The sequence below is a fragment of the Homo sapiens genome, chromosome X (assembly GCF_000001405.40).
Source record: "Homo sapiens chromosome X, GRCh38.p14 Primary Assembly".
Taxonomy (NCBI): domain Eukaryota; kingdom Metazoa; phylum Chordata; class Mammalia; order Primates; family Hominidae; genus Homo; species Homo sapiens.
In genome coordinates this window covers 16,822,536-16,841,427 of record NC_000023.11, presented here as the reverse complement: position 1 = coordinate 16,841,427, position 18,892 = coordinate 16,822,536, and the positions used below count along the sequence as shown (strand labels likewise).

The window sequence follows — 18,892 nt, the reverse complement described above, 5'->3', positions numbered from 1 at the left end:
CTGTAAGAAAAAAGAGGATTTCTGTAACCCTGTTAAATATCAATCAGGTTACAAAAAAATTAAGCCAGCTCAGCCATATTGGACACTTCTCACCTATGGAACATGTTCCGTCTCTTCAGCCTCCTAACATTCTAGCTAGCTAGCATGACTGCACCCATAACTATACCGAATGAGATTTAGCATATTGTTTCAGGGGGACAAAATTAAATTCCTTTTGTCACTTTTTTTTTTTTTGAGACAGAGTCTTGCTCTGTTGCCAGGCTGGAGTGCAATGGCGTGATCTCGGCTCACTGCAACCTCTGCCTCCTGGGTTGAGGTGATTCTCCTGCCTCAGCATCCCGAGTAACTGGGACTACAGGCGCGCCCCACCACGCCCAGCTAATTTTTGTATTTTTAGTAGAGATGGAGTTTCACCATGTTGGCCAGGATGGTCTTGATTTCCTGACCTCGTGATCTGCCCGCCTTGGCCTCCCGAAGCGCTGGGATTACAGGCGTGAGCCAAAGATAAACTTTTTAAGACATTTCCTATTGAACTATTAAGGAAATTCAAGATATGACAAAGAGTAGCAGACACAAAGGCCTACATACAGAAAATGACTCACTTCTACATAGATTTCTCCTCTTCCAATTTTTAGATGAGAAGTTTGTTGTTTTTTTTGAGACAGTCTCGCTCTGTCGCCCGGGCTGGAGTGCAGTGGTGCAATCTCAGCTCACTGCAACCTCCGCCTCCCAGGTTCAAGCAATTCTCCTGCCTCAGCCTCCTGGGTAGCTGGGACTACAGGCACGTGCCACTACGCCCAGCTGATTTTTGTATTTTTAGTAGAGACGGGGTTTCACGATGTTGGCCAGGCTGGTCTCGATCTCTTGACCTCATGATCCGCCTGCGTCGGCCTCCCAAAGTGCTGGGATTACAGGCGTGAGCCACTGTGCCCAGCCGAGAACAAGGTTCTTGTACACATGTGCCCCAGCGTTTTCTTTCTTTCCTGAAGTGTTATATAAAACAGGCAAAACGTACTTTGTTGCTTTTTTTGAAAGCCTAATAAGTCAAGCTAGAAAGGCCCTACATGCTGCATCAGCATCACCTGCATGCTTGTTAGAGAGGCGGATTATCTGCCTCCGCCCCCAAGAACTAGTGACTCAGCCTCTGGGAGAAGCCCAGCAATCCTGGTCTTAACAAGCAGGCGTCTGATGCAAGCTCAAGTTTGAGAAATCACTGCTGTAGAAGAAAGCAAAATCTAGATGTTTTATGCTATCTCCGACACAAGCCTGGGCTGATTAACTGGGTGGTAGGAAGCTCAGCCCCTCACTCAGGGCCCTGTCCCTAACCTAACTGCCAGGAAAGAAGTCACAGATTCTACCCAGCAACTCATCCCCACCCCCGCCCCAACGCGGGCTGGAGTCCTCAACTATGGTAGTAGTGTTACAGCACACGTCCCCGGCCCCGATAGGTACCTGAACTCAAGGAGTCCCCATGACTAAGACTACACCTTAGTCGCAGGAAACCATCTCACCTCTTCAGCCATTTGCAGAAGTGCTTTATTATTGTTTTCCCATTTGGTACGCCAAATTATTGTTTCTTTTTCCAGTTTTTTAATTTTCTTTGTCATCTGTGAATACAATTGCACATTTAAATTCTAAGTTCCCTTCCTTATCTCTACTCCCTGTCCCAGTACACAAAAATGTTTCTGTGCCCCTCCCCTCCCCCATCCCTGCACCTCCCTCACCCAGCTGACAGCTGTGTGTGTCTTTATAGAAGTAGCTGTGCCTGCCTGTCGGTAGCAGAGCTTATCTCAGAAGCTCCTAGGGTGGAACCAAAGAAGGGGGTTTGTATTATGAGAAAAACAAATTTAATCTCCTCAATTTCAGAGGCAGCAGCACATGGAGGAAGCTGTCAGCCACCACACTCTGAACTCAGTTAAGGCTGAAGTGCAGCTTTCATCCCAGCTCCGGGTAGCGAGAGACAAGCCCTCCTTCTCCCTAAGTTGTATGAAAAAATGCCCATGACTGAGTTTTCTGTCCATTAAACGAATTCCTCAGATTCTTGGGAGGACAGCGATCTTCAGCCCCACAAGACATTAAGAACTGACACTCCACCACAACCTCCAAGAACACATCAGTTTCAGAACTCAAGGCAGCATGATTCAGGTAAGACTCCAGTGACCAAGAAGATAAAAGTAGTTAATACCTCAGCTTTGGTCATCCTCACAATTCGTGAGGCTGATTTACTTCAGATTTTGCTAAAGATAAAGTGGGTCCCCAAATCAGGGAAGTGTTAAACCTATGCTACCAGAACACAATTTTCAGAAATTCAGGATGCATTTATCCATGCCTGTAGCTAGCTACTTTCTCAATATGCCTTCATCTACTGTTGACTGCACACCAGCTCTGATCCAGGTCGGGGCATTGAGCCAGGTGGTGTTAAGGGAAACAAGGATAAGACAGAGCCAGTGCCCTGTGCCTTGGGTAATTACCCACAAAACTGTAACACAAGGCAAACCGGGACAAAGGCCATGGGAAGAGCTGGTGGAAGACCTAGGTTGACTGCTGACCCATGGTGATCTCTGCAGCCACGGACAGAGAGGAATGTGTTCCAGTCCCAGAGGACCAGAAGGATGGCAGATCCAGGAGGCGGGAACTCTCTGTTCCACCTCAACAGTGAGTCTGTGCTGGCGTCCAGCTATCACCTGCACTGTGCCTAACAGCGCCCCCTCAATTGCAGCCTCAACTGAAAGGACTGGCAGGCAGAACGAATCTGCTGCTCATGGAATTCTCCAGATTACCAGGTCTAAAAATACCTGGAGGTGGTAATTTGAGCACCAATCAGCCACATGGTAACTGAGTACATGTTAATGTGCCAAGCACTGTCTGAAATACTCTATTTCATGAAGGGCAGGTTTTTGTTACCAATTTTAACAGTGAAGGAACAGAAAGGTTTAACAATTTGTCCATAGTCACACGTTCTATGATGCAACTGGGACATTAACCCAGGGCGCACGGTCTCCACCACTATGTGAGATCTAATAATAGTCATGACTAACATCTACTGAATGCTAACAAAGTGCCAGGCACTACTGTACTTCTCCCCAACCCAACGCTATGTTTTTAAATCCCCCATTTTTAAGGGAAGGATGCCAAGTAAAATAAGGCTGGCTGGCTGGCTGGATATGCATAGAATTATATACTTTGGTCCTTAGCTTGATCTCAAGGATATCTCTTTCCTTAACATAGGCAGGAAAATGCAACAGAAGCAAAAGAATTGGTTGGGTCAGGGGAGAAAGAATTCAGTGGGAGTAAAGATAAGAAAAACAGAGAAGCTAAAAAAGGTAGAAACACTGATATATCAACCAACCAAAATATATGATTATTATTCTGGGCTTGGATGTCTTTCAATAGTTAATCTCCAAGGACACAGAGTTTTATGAGAGGGCTGAGGATGATCCTCTAAAGTGGTTAAAACAAACAAAAAACAGCAACACACCAAAAAAACCACCACTTTATTTCTAACAAGTTGCATTTAATATAGGATTTCACTATAATAAAGGTAGAATTCTAAGAGCATAGAGAACATTAGCTACTTGGGGTACATTGAGGGCAAAATGACCAAAAATGCCACTGGAGGATCACTAAAGAGAAAATGAAGACAGTATCATAACAAAGGAAACTCAGCAAAATAGTAATCACACTTAAAAGAGCTTATACAAATTCCATTTGATATACTATTCTACTAAAAATATGTAAATACCTTTTCCATTTCCTGTCTGAAGGTTGTAAACAGTTCATTGCTTTTTGCCATGGTAGTCTGGAATTCTTCAAACTTATCCATATAAAGAGAAAGCTATAGGAAAAAAAGTATGAAACATTCTGAGTTCCATGCAAACAATTCCAGTTCCCAAACTTTCAAAAGAACGTAGTATGGTTACTTATTACAAGTGATAGAAATACGAACAAATGCACATCCAATCCTTGGACACCAGACATAGATGGCTAAAGTTCTGACAACCCACAGAAATGCATTAAAACTGAGGACATTCTGTTGACTTTAATATTAGATCTCCACCCATTGGTCATAACACAGCCTGAAGGATGTGGTGACTATAAACGTCATGCATGTGGAGTGCTCGCCCAACTACCCCTCTCCTGCCAAGTGAAAACTGTCCTTGGGAAAAGATCATTCCTTTAGAATACCACCTGCAGAGTTCTTAGTTTGATAGCAATGGTATCTCTTTCCTTAACGAAGGGAGGAAAATGCAACAGAAGCCAAAGAATTGGTTTGGTTGGGGAAGAAGAATTCGGTGAGAGTAAAATTAAAAGAAAACGTAAAGAGATCTACTCTTAACATAGTCCTACCCTCAAGGAATTTTTATTTAAGGATGAGGGAAAAATGCTAACCAACAAGGCAAGCAAAATATAAAATGGAGTCACCATCTTCTCCCCCTTAGAAAGGAGTCCAGAGAAGTATACGGGGAAGGGCACACTGAGGCTCAGGATACTTAGGGGAAGCTTCATGTGGGAGGCCTGAGCTGGCCCTCATAGGTGAGCTGAATGAGTTCATCTTAGACCAGGAGGGAACCTTTCAGAGACTATCCAACATAATCACATTATTTTCAGGATAGGGGAACAGAGAGAGACCCAGAGGAATAAAGTATTTTGGGCAAGATCACACGATAGATATAAGAAAAGCAGAGAAGAATAAAGGATCTTCAGAGGCCAAGAAACAGCATAAGCAGTGCTGGATGCAGAATATTCACCAGCACCACCTAGCGCACAGGATGCAGGGCAGGGTGGAATATGATGGTGCCCGCCCAGCCACAGCCAGCAGGGGGACGGGCCATCCCGGAAGCACTTAAGCAGCACGCACTGTGGTGTGGTGGACGCAGAAGCCAACTGAAAGTTAGTCATCTCACAGTGACCTTGTGCTTGTTAGGCTAGACGAGGTCCCTGTGAGATGGCCAAGCCACATCTGCACAAGGGCCTGGCCTGGGATGAGGACAAAGCAGGAAGAGAAATGCAGGGTGACCTGGAGAACACACAGGATTTGTTAGCAGACACTGACGGGGCCTCTGACATGACAGGCCTGGAGTTGGGGCAAGAGTGGTGCTCACGCAGAGGGAGGGAGCAGTATTAGTGCCTGAGGGACATTAGAAGTTACAGCAGTTTTGATGTGGTCCTTTAGGGTCTCACTCTGTCGCTCAGGCTGGAGTGCAGTGGCGCAATCACGGCTCATTGCAGCCTCGACCTCCCTCTTGGGCTCAAGCAATCCTCCCATCTCAGCCTCCTGAATAGAGGGGACTGTAGGCACACACCACCACACCTGGCTAATTTTTGTATCTTTTATAGAGATGGGGTTTCACCATGTTGCTCAGGCTGGTCTCAAACTCCTAAGCTCAAGCGATCCGCCCGCCTTGGCTAGGATTACAGGCATGAGCCACTGCGCCTCGCAGGCACAGTCCACTTTTATTGAAAATGGAACATCCAAATAAAGACTGTCCCATGTGAGAGTTCAGTGCTGGCCCAGTGGGTAGCCAATAAGTGGCCACTATTATCACACATGGACCTCCATGGCTAGATTACAAAACAGCGGGTGAAGACAGCACAAAGACTTTGAGTTACACCAGCAGATGCTGGGAAATGACATGGTGAGGGCAGAGAAGGTGAGACATGCTTGGGAAGGACAGCCACATTTAGAGGAAAACAAGAGGTGACAGCAAAGGAAACAAATAGTGACTGGATAAGAGGACTCTGAGTGGTACAGATCACAGACAACAGAAGCTACGATGGTGACAGTACAATAGAATTGGAGCTGGCCTGGGGGCTTGGTAAAAGGGCCCTCTGGTGACTTCCGCAGCATTGTCAATGACACCCACGTTCAGGAACATCTTCCAAAGCCATCTGGAGACTTCGTACCTTCTCCACATCAATTCTCATCTCTATTTACATGGACAACTGACTGTATAGGGCTGATAAGTAAGAGATTCAAATCTCCTAGAAGCTTTCTGGCATGATCTTCGGTTCCAAAGATTCCTCATATCTGACACCTCTTGAATATTCACTCTAAGTTAGGCTAGCTTTATAGGACCTTAAATTCATCACATTGTAAGATGTTCCCAAAGAAAAGCAGCACTCCAAAGAGGTGCTCATGAAGATCATGCCAGTCTCAAGGTCTCAGTGTTATTTTACAGCTAATCTAGAGTCTTCACAAAAACTTATATGATAAACTTTTAAGTAACACTTCTTTCAGCCAAATGTAATCTAGTTAACTGAAAAAAAGGATGAATGTATAGGTAGAAATGCCTAATTTTACCCATCTGTAAAGCCACGGCAAGTCTTTCCTGTACCTTTTTTTTTTTTTAAGGAGCTAACTCCTCCTACACTCATTCCACACAAGGCAACCACAGAGAGAGATCACAGCAGGACACACTTACAGGGTCTGGAATGAACAAGAGGGAGGGCCCTGATGAAAAACACCAGCACAAGCGATCCTGCCGCCTCGGACTCCTGAGTAGCTGGGACTACAGGCGTGCCACCACACCCAGCTATATGTAGTTTTTAAAACAACTTACGTGCTTATAGCACAAAACTCTAAAGATATTAGAGTTCACTATATGAAATTGCCATTTTTTTAGGCCAAGGACATATTCTTGTCTTGTTTAGCAATTTCACGTGGTTCAACTTGATACAAAATAAATAAAATATGCAGATGTATCAGTTTTCCTTTAGTGGGAAATTTAGTGTAACCGACTGAAAAAGGGAGGAATTATCTGGGCTCTTAGAAAGGGTCACTGAAGACAGGTTGACTAACCGTCCCAGGCTGCCTGAGACGGGGCATTTCCTGGGACACGAGACTTTCAGTACCAAAACCAGGAAAGTGCTGGGCAAACTGGGATGAGGTAGTTAACCTAAATAAAGTGGAAAATACCAAGAGGGCCATGAGATTTCTGCCTCAGTCCTGGTCAGCTCTGGCTGGGAAAAAGCAAAAAGCAAAACCATCTTAGAGGAGATTGAAGATATGCAGAATCAAAGGAACCACAGATTTTTCTTACAAATTGTACTATCCCCTGCTGTGAAGTTACCTGCTGTTTTAGTTGTACTTCTTGCTGTTTCATTTGTTCGTATTTGTGCCTCGATTCTGTCGCTTCTTTTAATAACTAGAAAACAGAAACATTCTGGCAAAATGCTAATGGTAATTACAAGCAGGACTAAATATCAAATGATCAGAGTTAGGCTTCATCCTTCTATTTTAGCAAGAACCACAGGTCTACAGATGAAACAGTCTGTTCCACAAATTGCCATTTACCTGTATCTTCTATCTGTCCCACTGGTTAACACTTAGGAATGCAGGAACAATCTTTTTATTGCTGAAGCAGAAAAAGTACCCTGGGGGCCTAATATGGTTTCTAAAACTCAGAGTTAAATTGTTGTGTTTTAGGTGAAAATAATTACATGTACAGTATTAGCAGAGAACACGGCTGATAATCTTGATATTATCTGGGTGACTTAGAAAAGCCCCGCTATTCCCTGAGGCAAGACGAGGCAGAGTGAAAGCGTATGGGGAAAGCAACGCAATCAATCTTGAGACCTGGTTTCTGAGCACTTTTTTAGAAAGCGGGGAGGGGGTGGACATTTTCATTTATATATAGTACTTGTGCTTTCAAGAAAATCACAAAGTTGCATAGTAGGCAGTTGTGAAATTCAGTCCCTGAAGTAAAATATCACACATAGTCCAAAGAAGCCTAGAAAAGTCCTACTGAAGCAACCAGAAAGTACACACATGTAATGAATATGAGTGTGTGTGTGTGTGTGTGTATAAAATTTATATTCCAACTTTGGAAATGATAACCATTTCTCAGCTGAACACTGGATACTATTGTCAGTTCATATGGAAGGATGACACTGTGAAAAACATGTCTCTCTAAACCCTAGATGCACTCAGTGTGACATGCCCGCATGACGAGGGCCACTCAGGAACTGAATCTTCACACTGTGCTCATGTCAGGGCTGTGGATGCAACAGTCTGCATTATTGCAATCATTTCTCCCTTGTGGATAAGCACTTAGCTGAATTTGCACATGGTAATATACATACCCAATGAGATTCCACTGTATTCACAATTACTGACAGGCAATAGAATCTGAGCATACACTGGCAACAATGCTGAGTGATTAGGGTAGAGAATTCTGTTTAAATTTTATCAGAAAATTATACCAGAGTAAGTAAATAAATGACTTCCCCAGTTTCAAGTTACTTGTTTGAAAACAAAATGTAATCATATATAGGAGAGCTGTGGCTTGGTAAGCTTGTTGTTAAACTGAATCACCAAATTTAACATGCTAAATGTGAGCACACAACTCTTGAACCTGATGACCATTATCTAAGATGGGAACTAAATATTCTAAGCACAGAAAAACAACAAGTGCAGGTCTTCCCACTGATTTGGTATAATCTTTCCAGTATATTTTCTGTATAAAAGGTTAAATAGAAATAAACAGCCAAATGCTTTCTAACACACACACACCACATACTCTCTTCTCAATCTACAGCAAAACACCAGCTGGCATGCCCCCAGGTGCTACATTAAAGGTAGAATAGATAAATGTTTCAAACGGCCTTGGTTACAATTTGATGTTTCAAATGGCCTCAGTTACAATGTTGGCAATAATGTCTTTGTTTTTAAGAAGTAGAACTTACAAACTCTCTCTCTCTCTGATGTTTTTCATCAGCTTCTTTTATCAGTTGTGTCGTTTGCTGCAGTTTGGCATCCACGAGCTGCTGTTGCAGTTCCTTATGTTTGAACACCTTATCAATGTGCTATGGGAAAAGGAGAGTTTCTTCCATCACTCACCAAAGAAAGGAACACAGTGGGGAGGAAACATCACAGCAGTTACAGCACCCTGCTCACCCTGCTGTTCTGCTACTACCACTGCAGCTAAGAACACCAGCTCTCTCTCTGTCCCTGTATACTCCGCTGAGAGAAGCGGCAATTTGACACCACCTTGCAAACCATCCCACATGGGCAGAAGCGTGGCCCTTTGACTGTTGCCTGTTCCCCCACCCTGTCAGACATGGGCTGTCCCCCTCACCAGCTTGGTATTTCCTATTTCTGCCCCACACTGAAAATAAGGCTCAGAGTGCACCAAGACAAAGAAGGATAAGAAGAGCAAAGTACTAAACCATACATCATGCACACAGTTCCTTTTTTCCCTCCCCATATTTTCCCAAATTCCTTAGCTGGAGGCAGCATGGTATGATGGTAGGAATGGCCCAGGTCAAATCCTGGCCAGTGTGTGGCCCTGGGCTAATTCCTCTCCACGCTGGAGCGCAGTGCCCTCCTCTGTACAGGGGGATACCTCCACCTACCTTGCAGAGCTGTAACAGTAAATGCGATGGTGGCACTAGGTAAGGTGCTTGGTGCCTGGCACACTTTAGACATTTGGTAAAAGTTCATTAGTATTTCCAAACAAAACTGTTAAGTGGTTACTGATGTATAATAAAGTCAACAGAACAATCCCTTCCCAGCTGGAGAAACGGAACTCTTCCAGTTACAATACCCTACATGAGAGGGGAAAATGCTGGTTGGTGAAGTAAGGTGGTCTAACTATGTATTGAGAGCACCACAGACTGCTCTCAAGAGAGCGCCTGCAAGTAATTTGATCATTATATTCTGACCAAAGAACATAACATAAGACACATACAATATGATTTAAACAAATCTGATTTTCAAATCTGCTACATCAGTTATGAGGTACATAGACTGTCAAAACAAACAACAAAACTAAAAGAATCATTTTAAGACAATTAAAGGCTTTATAATCTAATAAAAAGAAAATTTAACCTCTATGACAAAAAAGACGTTTCTTCAATAAATACAGTGTAAGAATAAAGGGGGGGAACCTATATTTTAGAGACTGGCGTTATATAAACCAGTGAAATGGACTTTCTTTGGATCTTGTTTCAAACAATTTCTCTTTTAAAAAGAAGCTGATCCAAAAAATTTGAATAGTGACTAGATACTTAATATTCAGTAATTGTTATTTATTTGAGACAGTCTCACTCCCATCACCCAGCCATGAGTACAGTGGTGGTGATCCTCCTGCCTCACTCTTCCGAGCAGCTGGGACTACAGGTGAGTACCACCTCACCCGGCTAGTCTTTGTATTTTTTGTAGAGACAGGCTTTCGCCATATTACCAGGCTGGTCTCGAACTCCTGGGCTCAAGCAATCCTCCTGCCTTGGCCTCCCAAAGTGCTGGGATTACAGGCGTGAGCCATTGCACCTGGCCTATTTGTTAATTTTTTAGGTATGAAACTGGTATTATGGTTATACTTAAATCCTTACTTTTTTGAGCTATACATTCAAATATCAATGGAATATTTGACATCTTGGATTTGCTTCAAAATAATCTAGGGGAACAGAGATGAAATTATCAGCCATGTACAGTGGCTCACATCTACAATCCCAGCACTTTGGGGAGCCAAGACAGGGGGATCACCTGAGCCCAGGAGTTCAAGACCAGCCTGGGCAATTTAGCAAGAAACTGTCTCTATACACACACACACACACACACACACACACACACACACACACACACACACACACACACGGAATTACGGTTTCATCTGCTGAAGCCAGGTGCTATATTATCTCTCTACTTTTTGTTAAGCTTGAAATTTTCCATAATTTTTTTTTAAAAAAAACAAAAGGCAGTAAGAAAAATAAAATCTTTAAAAAAAAAATAGCAGTTTTTGAAGGGCTGTATGTAAAACTATAAAGTTTGAGTTGAAAACAAGATAAAGTAACACACAGATGCCTGATCTTTTTTTTTTTTTAATTTGAATCAGCTTTTTGAATCCATTTCTGTAAGGAACATAACATAACAAGCCCAACATTTTACTAAATGTTAAAAGGCAGAGATGCACCATTTAAAAAAACCTAAAGCCTCTAACCCTGTCCATCGGCCCTCTAAAAGTGAGGAACTTGAAAAACCAGGTTAGTACCTTCTAGCAAATAGGTACTAACCTGGTTTTTCAAGTTCCTCGCTTTGTTCAGAGGACACTACCTCTGAACTTCCAGATTAGCTTATAAAATAATTCCAAAAGTCTTCATTGAAGGCCAATGGCCAAGTTCATTAGCCATGGATCTTCCCAGTAAACTTTTTACCCTCAATGGGCTTATGTGTGAGGGGTTAGAAGGGGTTAGAAGTAGGTTTTTCCTCCCAAATAATATAAAGCCCTCATTTAAAAAAAAAAAATCTGAAACATTAACTGTACAAGTATAATGCAATGGTAGTGGATACTGTAGAGATTATCATAGATGTCTGAGATACAGGGTATTTGGGGCCCAAATATTTATTCACTATTAGTCTGGATAAGGGAAAACAATCTACATGCGAAAATTGCAATCTTCCAGTATTTCATGGAAGACAAGCAGTACTTAAACGGGTCTCCTAGAAATAACCTCAAATAAGTCCCAAACCCAGTGACTCCTGGGACATCAAGTGATGATCTCATTTGTGGTGCCTGATCGTTTCCTAATAAATAACCGACTGCCACTATGCATATGCAAAGTTCTGAAACACCCGTGACAGCAGTTTTACTTTAGGTATGAATGGTGACACTTTTGCTAATCTTGAGAAGCCGTTTAAATAAACCAAATGCCATTACCTCTTCCCTCAGTGCGTACTGTTCGATGAGCTTCTTTAGCTTCTCCCCCAGCTCAATGTTTTCCTGTCGGAGTTTGGCGTTGTGGATGTCATGCTGCTCCAGCTGGGCTTGAATTTCATTTAAGGTAATCTGGAAATGTGCAGTTGCTTCTTTACGTCGTTCTTCTTCCTCTCGTGCCTGCTGCATATTTTCCTCCTTATTACCCAAAATAATTTTTGTTAATAATACAGACCTATAGAGAAGATGCTCACAAGAGAAGCTGCTGCAATGTGGGTTCATTTGTTGCTGCCCTGACGTGTTGCTTCTGAACTACAATTCCTCCCCCTTATTTATGACCAGAAGGCTATCACTGAAAAGCAAGCAGTTTTTCCTAAGTAGACAGATAACCAGAGAGATGCAAACTGTCCTGCTACAAAATAAATGTTATGGCTGTCTACAATTCACTCTACTGCAATACTCGCCGGTTACACAGGCCATCATCTTAGATGGGTCGGAAGAGATCCTGCCCCCTTGCAGCTTACTTTCTGGGTCACACTTACTCCCTAAAGGGCAAAGGACAAATGGAATCCTCATCTCAAAAAGCTTCCTTTCTGTAACTACTTTCTGATGATTAAAAAGAAAAAACAAAAAATTCAAAGCTTACTTTCAATTCTTGCTAGGATATGAGTGTCAAAAGACCTTTACATGTCTGAACTGTTACCAGCCTACTCAAAATATTGATTTCCTATGGGAAAAAAAAAATACCACTTACTTTGACATCTAAATCCAAGGGCTCAAAAGCAAAGAAGGTAATAATGGCTCCCATACCAGGTGAAGATCCATTTCAAGAGTGCACTTATAGTCTAGGGCCTTGGGAGTTTGTTGGGGCATAAAGGGAGTTTATTGGGGCATAAAGGGCATAAAGGGAGTCTGTCCCATTCTAAGAGGCAGATTCCTTCCCACGGCTCTGCTCCTTTCCTTCTTCCCCTGTTGATATCAATGAATCTTTGGATACCTATTCCCTCTTCCTTTACAATCAGCCAAGGTATAAGTGGTTTCCTAAAAGTACTTAGCAACTGAATGGCTGGGGGTGGGCCAGTGGAACTGGGCAATGCTCCACCCAGGAGCTCAGCAGTTCTCCCTTCCCAGACTGTCTGTTACTAGTTTCTCATTTCACTGCAGCTTTTCCTACTTGGTGATCAGCTGTATCAGTGCTCAGCAGAAAACTGGCAATTCTGAGCTTCCTAAGCCATGGCTCTAAGCAGGAGGGCCTTGAGCGTAGATTCCCGGGAGCCAAGTATGAGGCAACTAAGGTGCTCTTCCTTGAACAGGAAACCAAAACTTACGTAGAAAGAATTGGTCTTACATTTACAATGACCTCACACAAGGCATCAGGCCAAGCAAAATAAAAAGCAAGGCAGTATCTGTCTCCAAGTAGAGACAAGGATTTATTTCAGATAGGCACAGGGTTGATTATGAAATCAGATAAGTCCCTCCTGAAAAAAACAGACAAATGAAGCAACTAACCTTTAACGTCTTATTGTGACGCTGAAGTTCTCTGCAAAGAGATTCTAGCTTGCTTCTTGCCAAGATAGCCTTGCTATGTTCACTCTGCAAGTGAACTTTCTCTTTCACAATCTGGGCTTGCTTCTTCTGCAGGATCTTCATTTGCTTCTGAACACTCCTGCTCTCCTCCAGCTAAAATTCATAAGCACTTTGTATTTAGGAAGTACAGTAAAAATCTTACAGTTATGGCTAGAATTATAATGAGAGCTATGGAACACATTTTCAAAAAGTCAAATACTATGGTTTAATATATTATTTAAATTGTTTCATGCCATGCTACACTGCCACCCTTCTCTTCTCTCCTCTTCCAGTTGTGACAAAAAAGTAAGCAAATTTAGGGCAGCAGAAAATAATCCATCTTTTTCTTTTTTAAAAAAAAATCCTTTAGACAGATTTAATTTTCACAACCCTTTATTATCCAGGTTTTATAGAAGAAATGTATAAGCCTGGAGACATTAATAAGTTGCCTAACATTCTTTAATTAGTACAGATAATCAGTAAGGGGTGAGGTGGGATTTGAACCCAGCAGCCTGAATCTCTGGCTTTCTTGACTTCCGTATTGGCCTGCTATCCCCTGGGGTCCTGAATTTTGCCAGCTTTCTGACTTCAGACACTGATCACAGATCTTCTCCCTGCTTTCAACCCAACAACTCACAAGCAACATGGGCTCCTCAACTTCCAGCTATGATCTTGTGCTTTTTGAAGGATGATGCCCTTCAACTGGATACCTCCTGCCCCTGAATTTTCCTGGGCCCACTGGGAACACTGCCCAAGTATTCCAGCCTTAACCCTTTGGAAAATAAACCAGCTCCAGTTCTAGCTGAAACCTACTCCAATGTTGAAGGCCAGGAGTGACTCAGTGCTAAAGCCAGGCATGTCCCGAATTGCTGTTTGCTGGGTGAATGTCTGTCTAGATCATTTCCTACCTGGCAAAAAACCCGCTGAAATCCAAATATTTTAACAATCAATTTATTGTGCTTTGGGGTTTTGATTTTTTTATTTTCATTATCATTTTTTTAGATGGACTATTATTCTGTTGCACAATCTCGGCTCACTGCAGCCTCCACCTCCCGGGTTCAAGCGATTCTCCTGCCTCAGCCTCCCGAGTAGCTAGGACTACAGGCACCTGCCACCACGCCCAGCTAATTTTTGTATTTTTAGTAGAGACAGGGTTTCCCTATGTTGGCCAGACTGGTCTCAAACTCATGACCTCAATTGATCCACCTGCCTTGGCCTCCCAAAGTGCTGGGATTACAAGCATAAGCCACCATGCCCGGCCGGGTTTTGCTTTTTTGAGATGGAGTTTCACTCTAGTTGCCCAGGCTGGAGTGCAATGGATCGCGCCATTGCACTCCAGCCTAGGCAACAAGAGTTAAAGCGATTCTCCTGCCTCAGCCTCCCAAGTAGCTGGGATTATAGGCATGCGCCACCACACCCAGCTAATTTTGTATTTTTAGTAGAAATGGGGTTTCTCCATGTTGGTCAGGCTGGTCTCGAACTCCCGACCTCAGGTGATCCGCCCACCTCGGCCTCCCAAAGTGCTGAGAATACAGGCATGAGCCACCGTGCCCAGCAGGTTTTTGTTTTTTTAAATGATGCTTTAGGAGTCGATACCATCAAGTTTTACACCCACAGGCTACTATACTGAAACAGTCATCAGAATCTAAAACTCAGTAAACAGCACTCAGGGTTCTTTGTAAGAAGAACTGCTGCAGTTTTGGGTATGGAACAAATCAGTCTGTTTCAAGGTTAAATCAACATGAACAGATAAGATGGCAGCCTTACTGACCTTTCAATAAAGCTTTTACTGAAAAAGAAAATGATGCTGAGTCACAATTTGAAGAGCAAGAGTGACATCTTGTGGCCTACCAAAACATATCACGCATCCTTACAGCCACATTTACAGATATTAAAAACACCTTTACTGAAATTCTTGCAGGAAAAAAAATCATTGTTTTTGCATAATTTTGTAAAGCAAAATTACTGCGAACTGTACACGGCTGCCCAGTTTAAGAGGCTGCAGGTCCGGCACATACTAGCTGTAATTTCACCAGGGTGCAGAGCTCCTGCCTTTCCTGACCCAGGGTTAGCGCAATCCTGAATCCGGCGTTCATTATTCCTTCGCTTTCCTTTCTATATAATTTCATTTCATCTGTGTGCACTTCTCTAAAAAAAAAATCCTTTTGGTTTTAGCTGTTTTGACTTTATTGTAGCTAGTGCAAATGAGGAATTGAAATTTTCATTTAATTTACACTAATTTAATAAGCCACATGTGGCTGATGGCTACTGTCTTGGACAGCGCAACTCGATTACATTGCTAGGACTCATCCACATTGTTGGCGTGTAGCTGCAGATCAGGACTTAGCAGATTTTTTCTGTAAAGGGCCAGCAAGTAAATATTTTAGGCACTGCAGGCCACATATGGTCTCTGTCACGTGTTCTTTATTTTTAAACATCTTAAAAATTAAAACCATTCTTGTGGGCAGTGTAAAAACAGACTTCGGATGCATTTGGCCCACAGGCTGTATAATATTCCACTTTTTAAAAACACAGCACACACACAAACATACCACACAAAGTGAGAACCTGTCTCTAAAAAATAAACAGTGAGCCATGATTGCGCCACTGCACTCCAGCCTGGGTGGTAGAGTGAGACCCTGTCTGAAAAATAAACAAACAAGTAGATAAAAAATAAAAACACACCACACATACACACAAAACTCTTTATTAATCCATCTTCTTGCATCAACAGGCATCTGGGCTGTCTCTAGGTTTTGTTATTACTCACAGTGGTATGAACATTCTCATGTGTTTCCTGGTATACACGTGTCAGGAATTTCTCCTCTGTGCAAACATCAGAAATGAGGTTGCTGGGCAATGATTTCTAAATGTTTGATTTCACATGACAATGGTGAATTGATATTCCCAACAGCAATATATAAGAGACCACGTAGATCCACATCCTCTCCAAAATGATCAGATTTCTTCATTTATGCCACTACAATAGACGTAAAATGGCATCTCACTGTGGTCCTAATTTGCATTTCCCTAATCACTTATCAGGTGGAACATCTCTTTGAATGTTTATGGACCTTTATGTTAAGGTATCTTCGTATCTTTGTTTTTCCACTTCTATGAAATGTCCCTTTCATGTCTCTCATCCAGCTTTCCATAGGGCTATTTGTCCTTTTCACATTAGTGTTCTTTAGATATTCTTGATACTAAATCGCCTGCTGGTTATATTTGTTGGAAATATGTTCTCCCCAGTTTGTAATGTCGTCTCACTTTTTTTTTTTTTCTGAGATGAAGTCTCACTCTGCTGCCCAGGCTGGAATGCAGTGGTGCGATCTTGGCTCACTGCAACTTCCGCCTCCCCAGTTCAAGCGATTCTCCTGCCTCAACCTCCTGAGTAGCTGGAACTACAGGCGCGCAAACACCATGCCCGGCTAATTTTTTTTTTTTTATTTTTTTAGTAGAGACGGGCTTTCACCATATTGGACAGGCTGGTCTTGAATTCCTGACCTCGTGATCCGCCTGCCTCAGGCTCCCAAAGTGCTGGGATTACAGGTGTGAGCCACCGCGCTTGGCCATCTTCTCACTTTTTTTCAGGGCATCTTTTGACGAAAACAAAGTTCTTAATTTCAATAAAGCAAATTTGTACAATCTTTCCTCTGACAGTGCTTTTTGTGCTATAAGAAATATTTCCTAAACTCAAGGTTTGAAAAATATTTATCTATTGATAAATCAAAATAATATCTACAAATTTCAAAGCTTAATTTTTGACATTTAAGCCTTTAATCTATTTGGAATTGATTGTTGCCTCTGGTGTGTAAGGATCTAATTTTACTTTTTCCTCAAAAGGATAACTTTTTTTTTTTTTTGGAGATAGCATCTTGCACTGTCGCCCAGGCTGGGTTGCCATGTGGCACGAACTCACTGCAGCCTCCAATTCCTGGGCTCAAGCAATCCTACCACTTCAGCCTCCCAAGTAGCTGAGACTACAGGCGTGTGTGCGTGTGTGTGTGTGTACAGGGTCTTGCGACGTTGCCCAGGCTGGTCTTGAACTCCTGATTGTAAGCAATCCTGCTTCAGCCTCCTGAAGTGCAGATGCTACAGGGCTGAGCTACCATATCTGGCCAGGATAACCATTTTTTAAGTTACATTAATATCATGAGGATGGCAATTCTCCCCCAAATGTATCTACAGATTCTGTGAAATGCTCTTTGAAATCCCAAATAGTGCCCCCCAACACACGGAACTACTAAATTGAATCTAAAATCTATAGAGAGTAAAGGGCCAAGAATAGCCAAGATACTTCAGAAGAAAAGAGTAAGGAGAATGGAACCTACCCCAAGCATATATTAAGATTATTATGCTATAATAATCTGTACAAACTGACTACAGGATGGGAAAGAATAGCATTATAAAGTACTTAAGGATCATGTTAATGGTATCCACAGCTAAAAGCAAAATGCTACAATTTCATGAATCCATGTGATCTGGTGAACATGTTGGCCACAGGGTCTCTCCAATGGACAATCCCAGTTACAGTGCACAGAAATCCATTCCAACTGCTCCACAAAACAGTTATGCATGTCAGTGCAACAAGCACAATGACATCAGACGATATATGTCATAAACGGGCAGAAGACAGTGATGGCAAAAGGGAAGGGAACTTTTCAGAATAATCCTTGGGAAAAGGCTGTGACTCCCTTGGTGACCTCACATATATATACTCCACTTTTTTTTTTTTTTTTTTTTTTTTTTGAGACAGAGTTTCACTCTTGTTGCCTAGTCTGGAGTGTAATGGCACGATCTCGGCTCACCACAACCTCTGCTTCCCAGGTTCAAGTGATTCTCCTGCCTCAGCCTCCTGAGTAGCTGGGATTACAGGTATGCGCCACCACGCCCAGCAAATTTTGTATTTTTAGTAGAGACGGGGTTTCTCCATGTTGGTAAGGCTGGTCTCGAACTCCCGACCTCAGGTGATCCGCCTGCCTCAGCCTCCCAAAGTGCTGGGATTATACGCCCGGCCTATATCTACCTTTTAAGTGAAATATGTGTTGCTTCAAGAAATCAAGCTTTAGAACATTTTCTGGAAACAATACACATTTTGTCTTTCAAATTTTTGGCACAAATCTGTATAAAAGAGAGATTACTCACTAGGCAAGTCTTCAATGTGTCACATCCTGAAATGAACACAGTCATTACTGCTGGTGCTTAGCAATAACCTTATCCACAATCAAAACAATAAAACCAAAAGTCACAAACAAAAACACCCTAGACCCCTGCTACTTCAAGTGTGATCCAAGGTCTGGCAGCATCATCACTGTTGCCCGGGCATTTGTTAAAATGCAGATCCTCAGGCCCCAACCAAGGCCTAGTGAATCAGAATGTGCATTTTAACCACAAGTTCAATGATCGGTGTGAGTCTGAGAACAACCACCCCAGATCACTGTTTGTTCTCTCTTCTAACCAATTCATGGCTGTCTGTCATTGTCACATCACTGGGTTGGGTAGCTAACCTTCGACACTGCTTTTTCTGGTTTTTACTCTTTTCTCCATTTTTTCTTTTCCCTTTTCTGTTCTTGTCTTTCTTCTTTTTCCGCCATTTCTTGCATGATTCTCCCCATGTGAAAGGCACCAAGGGGGACTGGCTTCCACAGCCAATGGAAGCATTCCTTTCCTGA

General features: G+C 42.5%; 1 protein-coding gene and 1 long non-coding RNA gene across 6 annotated transcripts in view, besides 2 other annotated features; one reads left to right on the top strand and one right to left on the bottom strand.

The window, feature by feature from the left end:
* TXLNG (taxilin gamma) overlaps nucleotides 1-18,892 on the bottom strand; it is a 58,054-nt gene that overhangs the window by 3,092 nt on the left and 36,070 nt on the right. For 3 of the 5 annotated variants that reach the window (NM_018360.3, NM_001168683.2, XM_024452400.2), the window contains 6 exons: nucleotides 13,164-13,334; nucleotides 11,658-11,852; nucleotides 8,686-8,805; nucleotides 7,071-7,145; nucleotides 3,743-3,835; nucleotides 1,512-1,607 (listed from right to left, as the gene is read on the bottom strand). In NM_018360.3, the coding sequence (NP_060830.2) occupies nucleotides 1,512-1,607; nucleotides 3,743-3,835; nucleotides 7,071-7,145; nucleotides 8,686-8,805; nucleotides 11,658-11,852; nucleotides 13,164-13,334 (750 nt within the window). Of the gene's footprint in view, nucleotides 1-865; nucleotides 984-1,511; nucleotides 1,608-3,742; nucleotides 3,836-7,070; nucleotides 7,146-8,685; nucleotides 8,806-11,657; nucleotides 11,853-12,408; nucleotides 13,112-13,163; nucleotides 13,335-18,892 lie in introns of those variants that run through there. The other 2 variants (XM_047442249.1, XM_017029631.2) reach the window with 2 other exon arrangements.
* LOC124905251 (uncharacterized) lies at nucleotides 1,603-6,702 on the top strand. The gene is made up of 2 exons (XR_007068399.1): nucleotides 1,603-2,145; nucleotides 2,568-6,702. It is a non-coding gene; the product is annotated as an uncharacterized LOC124905251 (long non-coding RNA).
* Nucleotides 12,417-12,916: an enhancer, noted in NCBI's record as "H3K27ac hESC enhancer chrX:16846635-16847134 (GRCh37/hg19 assembly coordinates)". NCBI's record gives its function as "activates a minimal SCP1, AML or CMV promoter by ChIP-STARR-seq in naive H9 embryonic stem cells {active_cell/tissue: H9 hESC(naive)}" and the evidence as "EXISTENCE:reporter gene assay evidence [ECO:0000049][PMID:30033119]".
* Nucleotides 14,047-14,562: an enhancer, noted in NCBI's record as "H3K27ac hESC enhancer chrX:16844989-16845504 (GRCh37/hg19 assembly coordinates)". NCBI's record gives its function as "activates a minimal SCP1, AML or CMV promoter by ChIP-STARR-seq in naive H9 embryonic stem cells {active_cell/tissue: H9 hESC(naive)}" and the evidence as "EXISTENCE:reporter gene assay evidence [ECO:0000049][PMID:30033119]".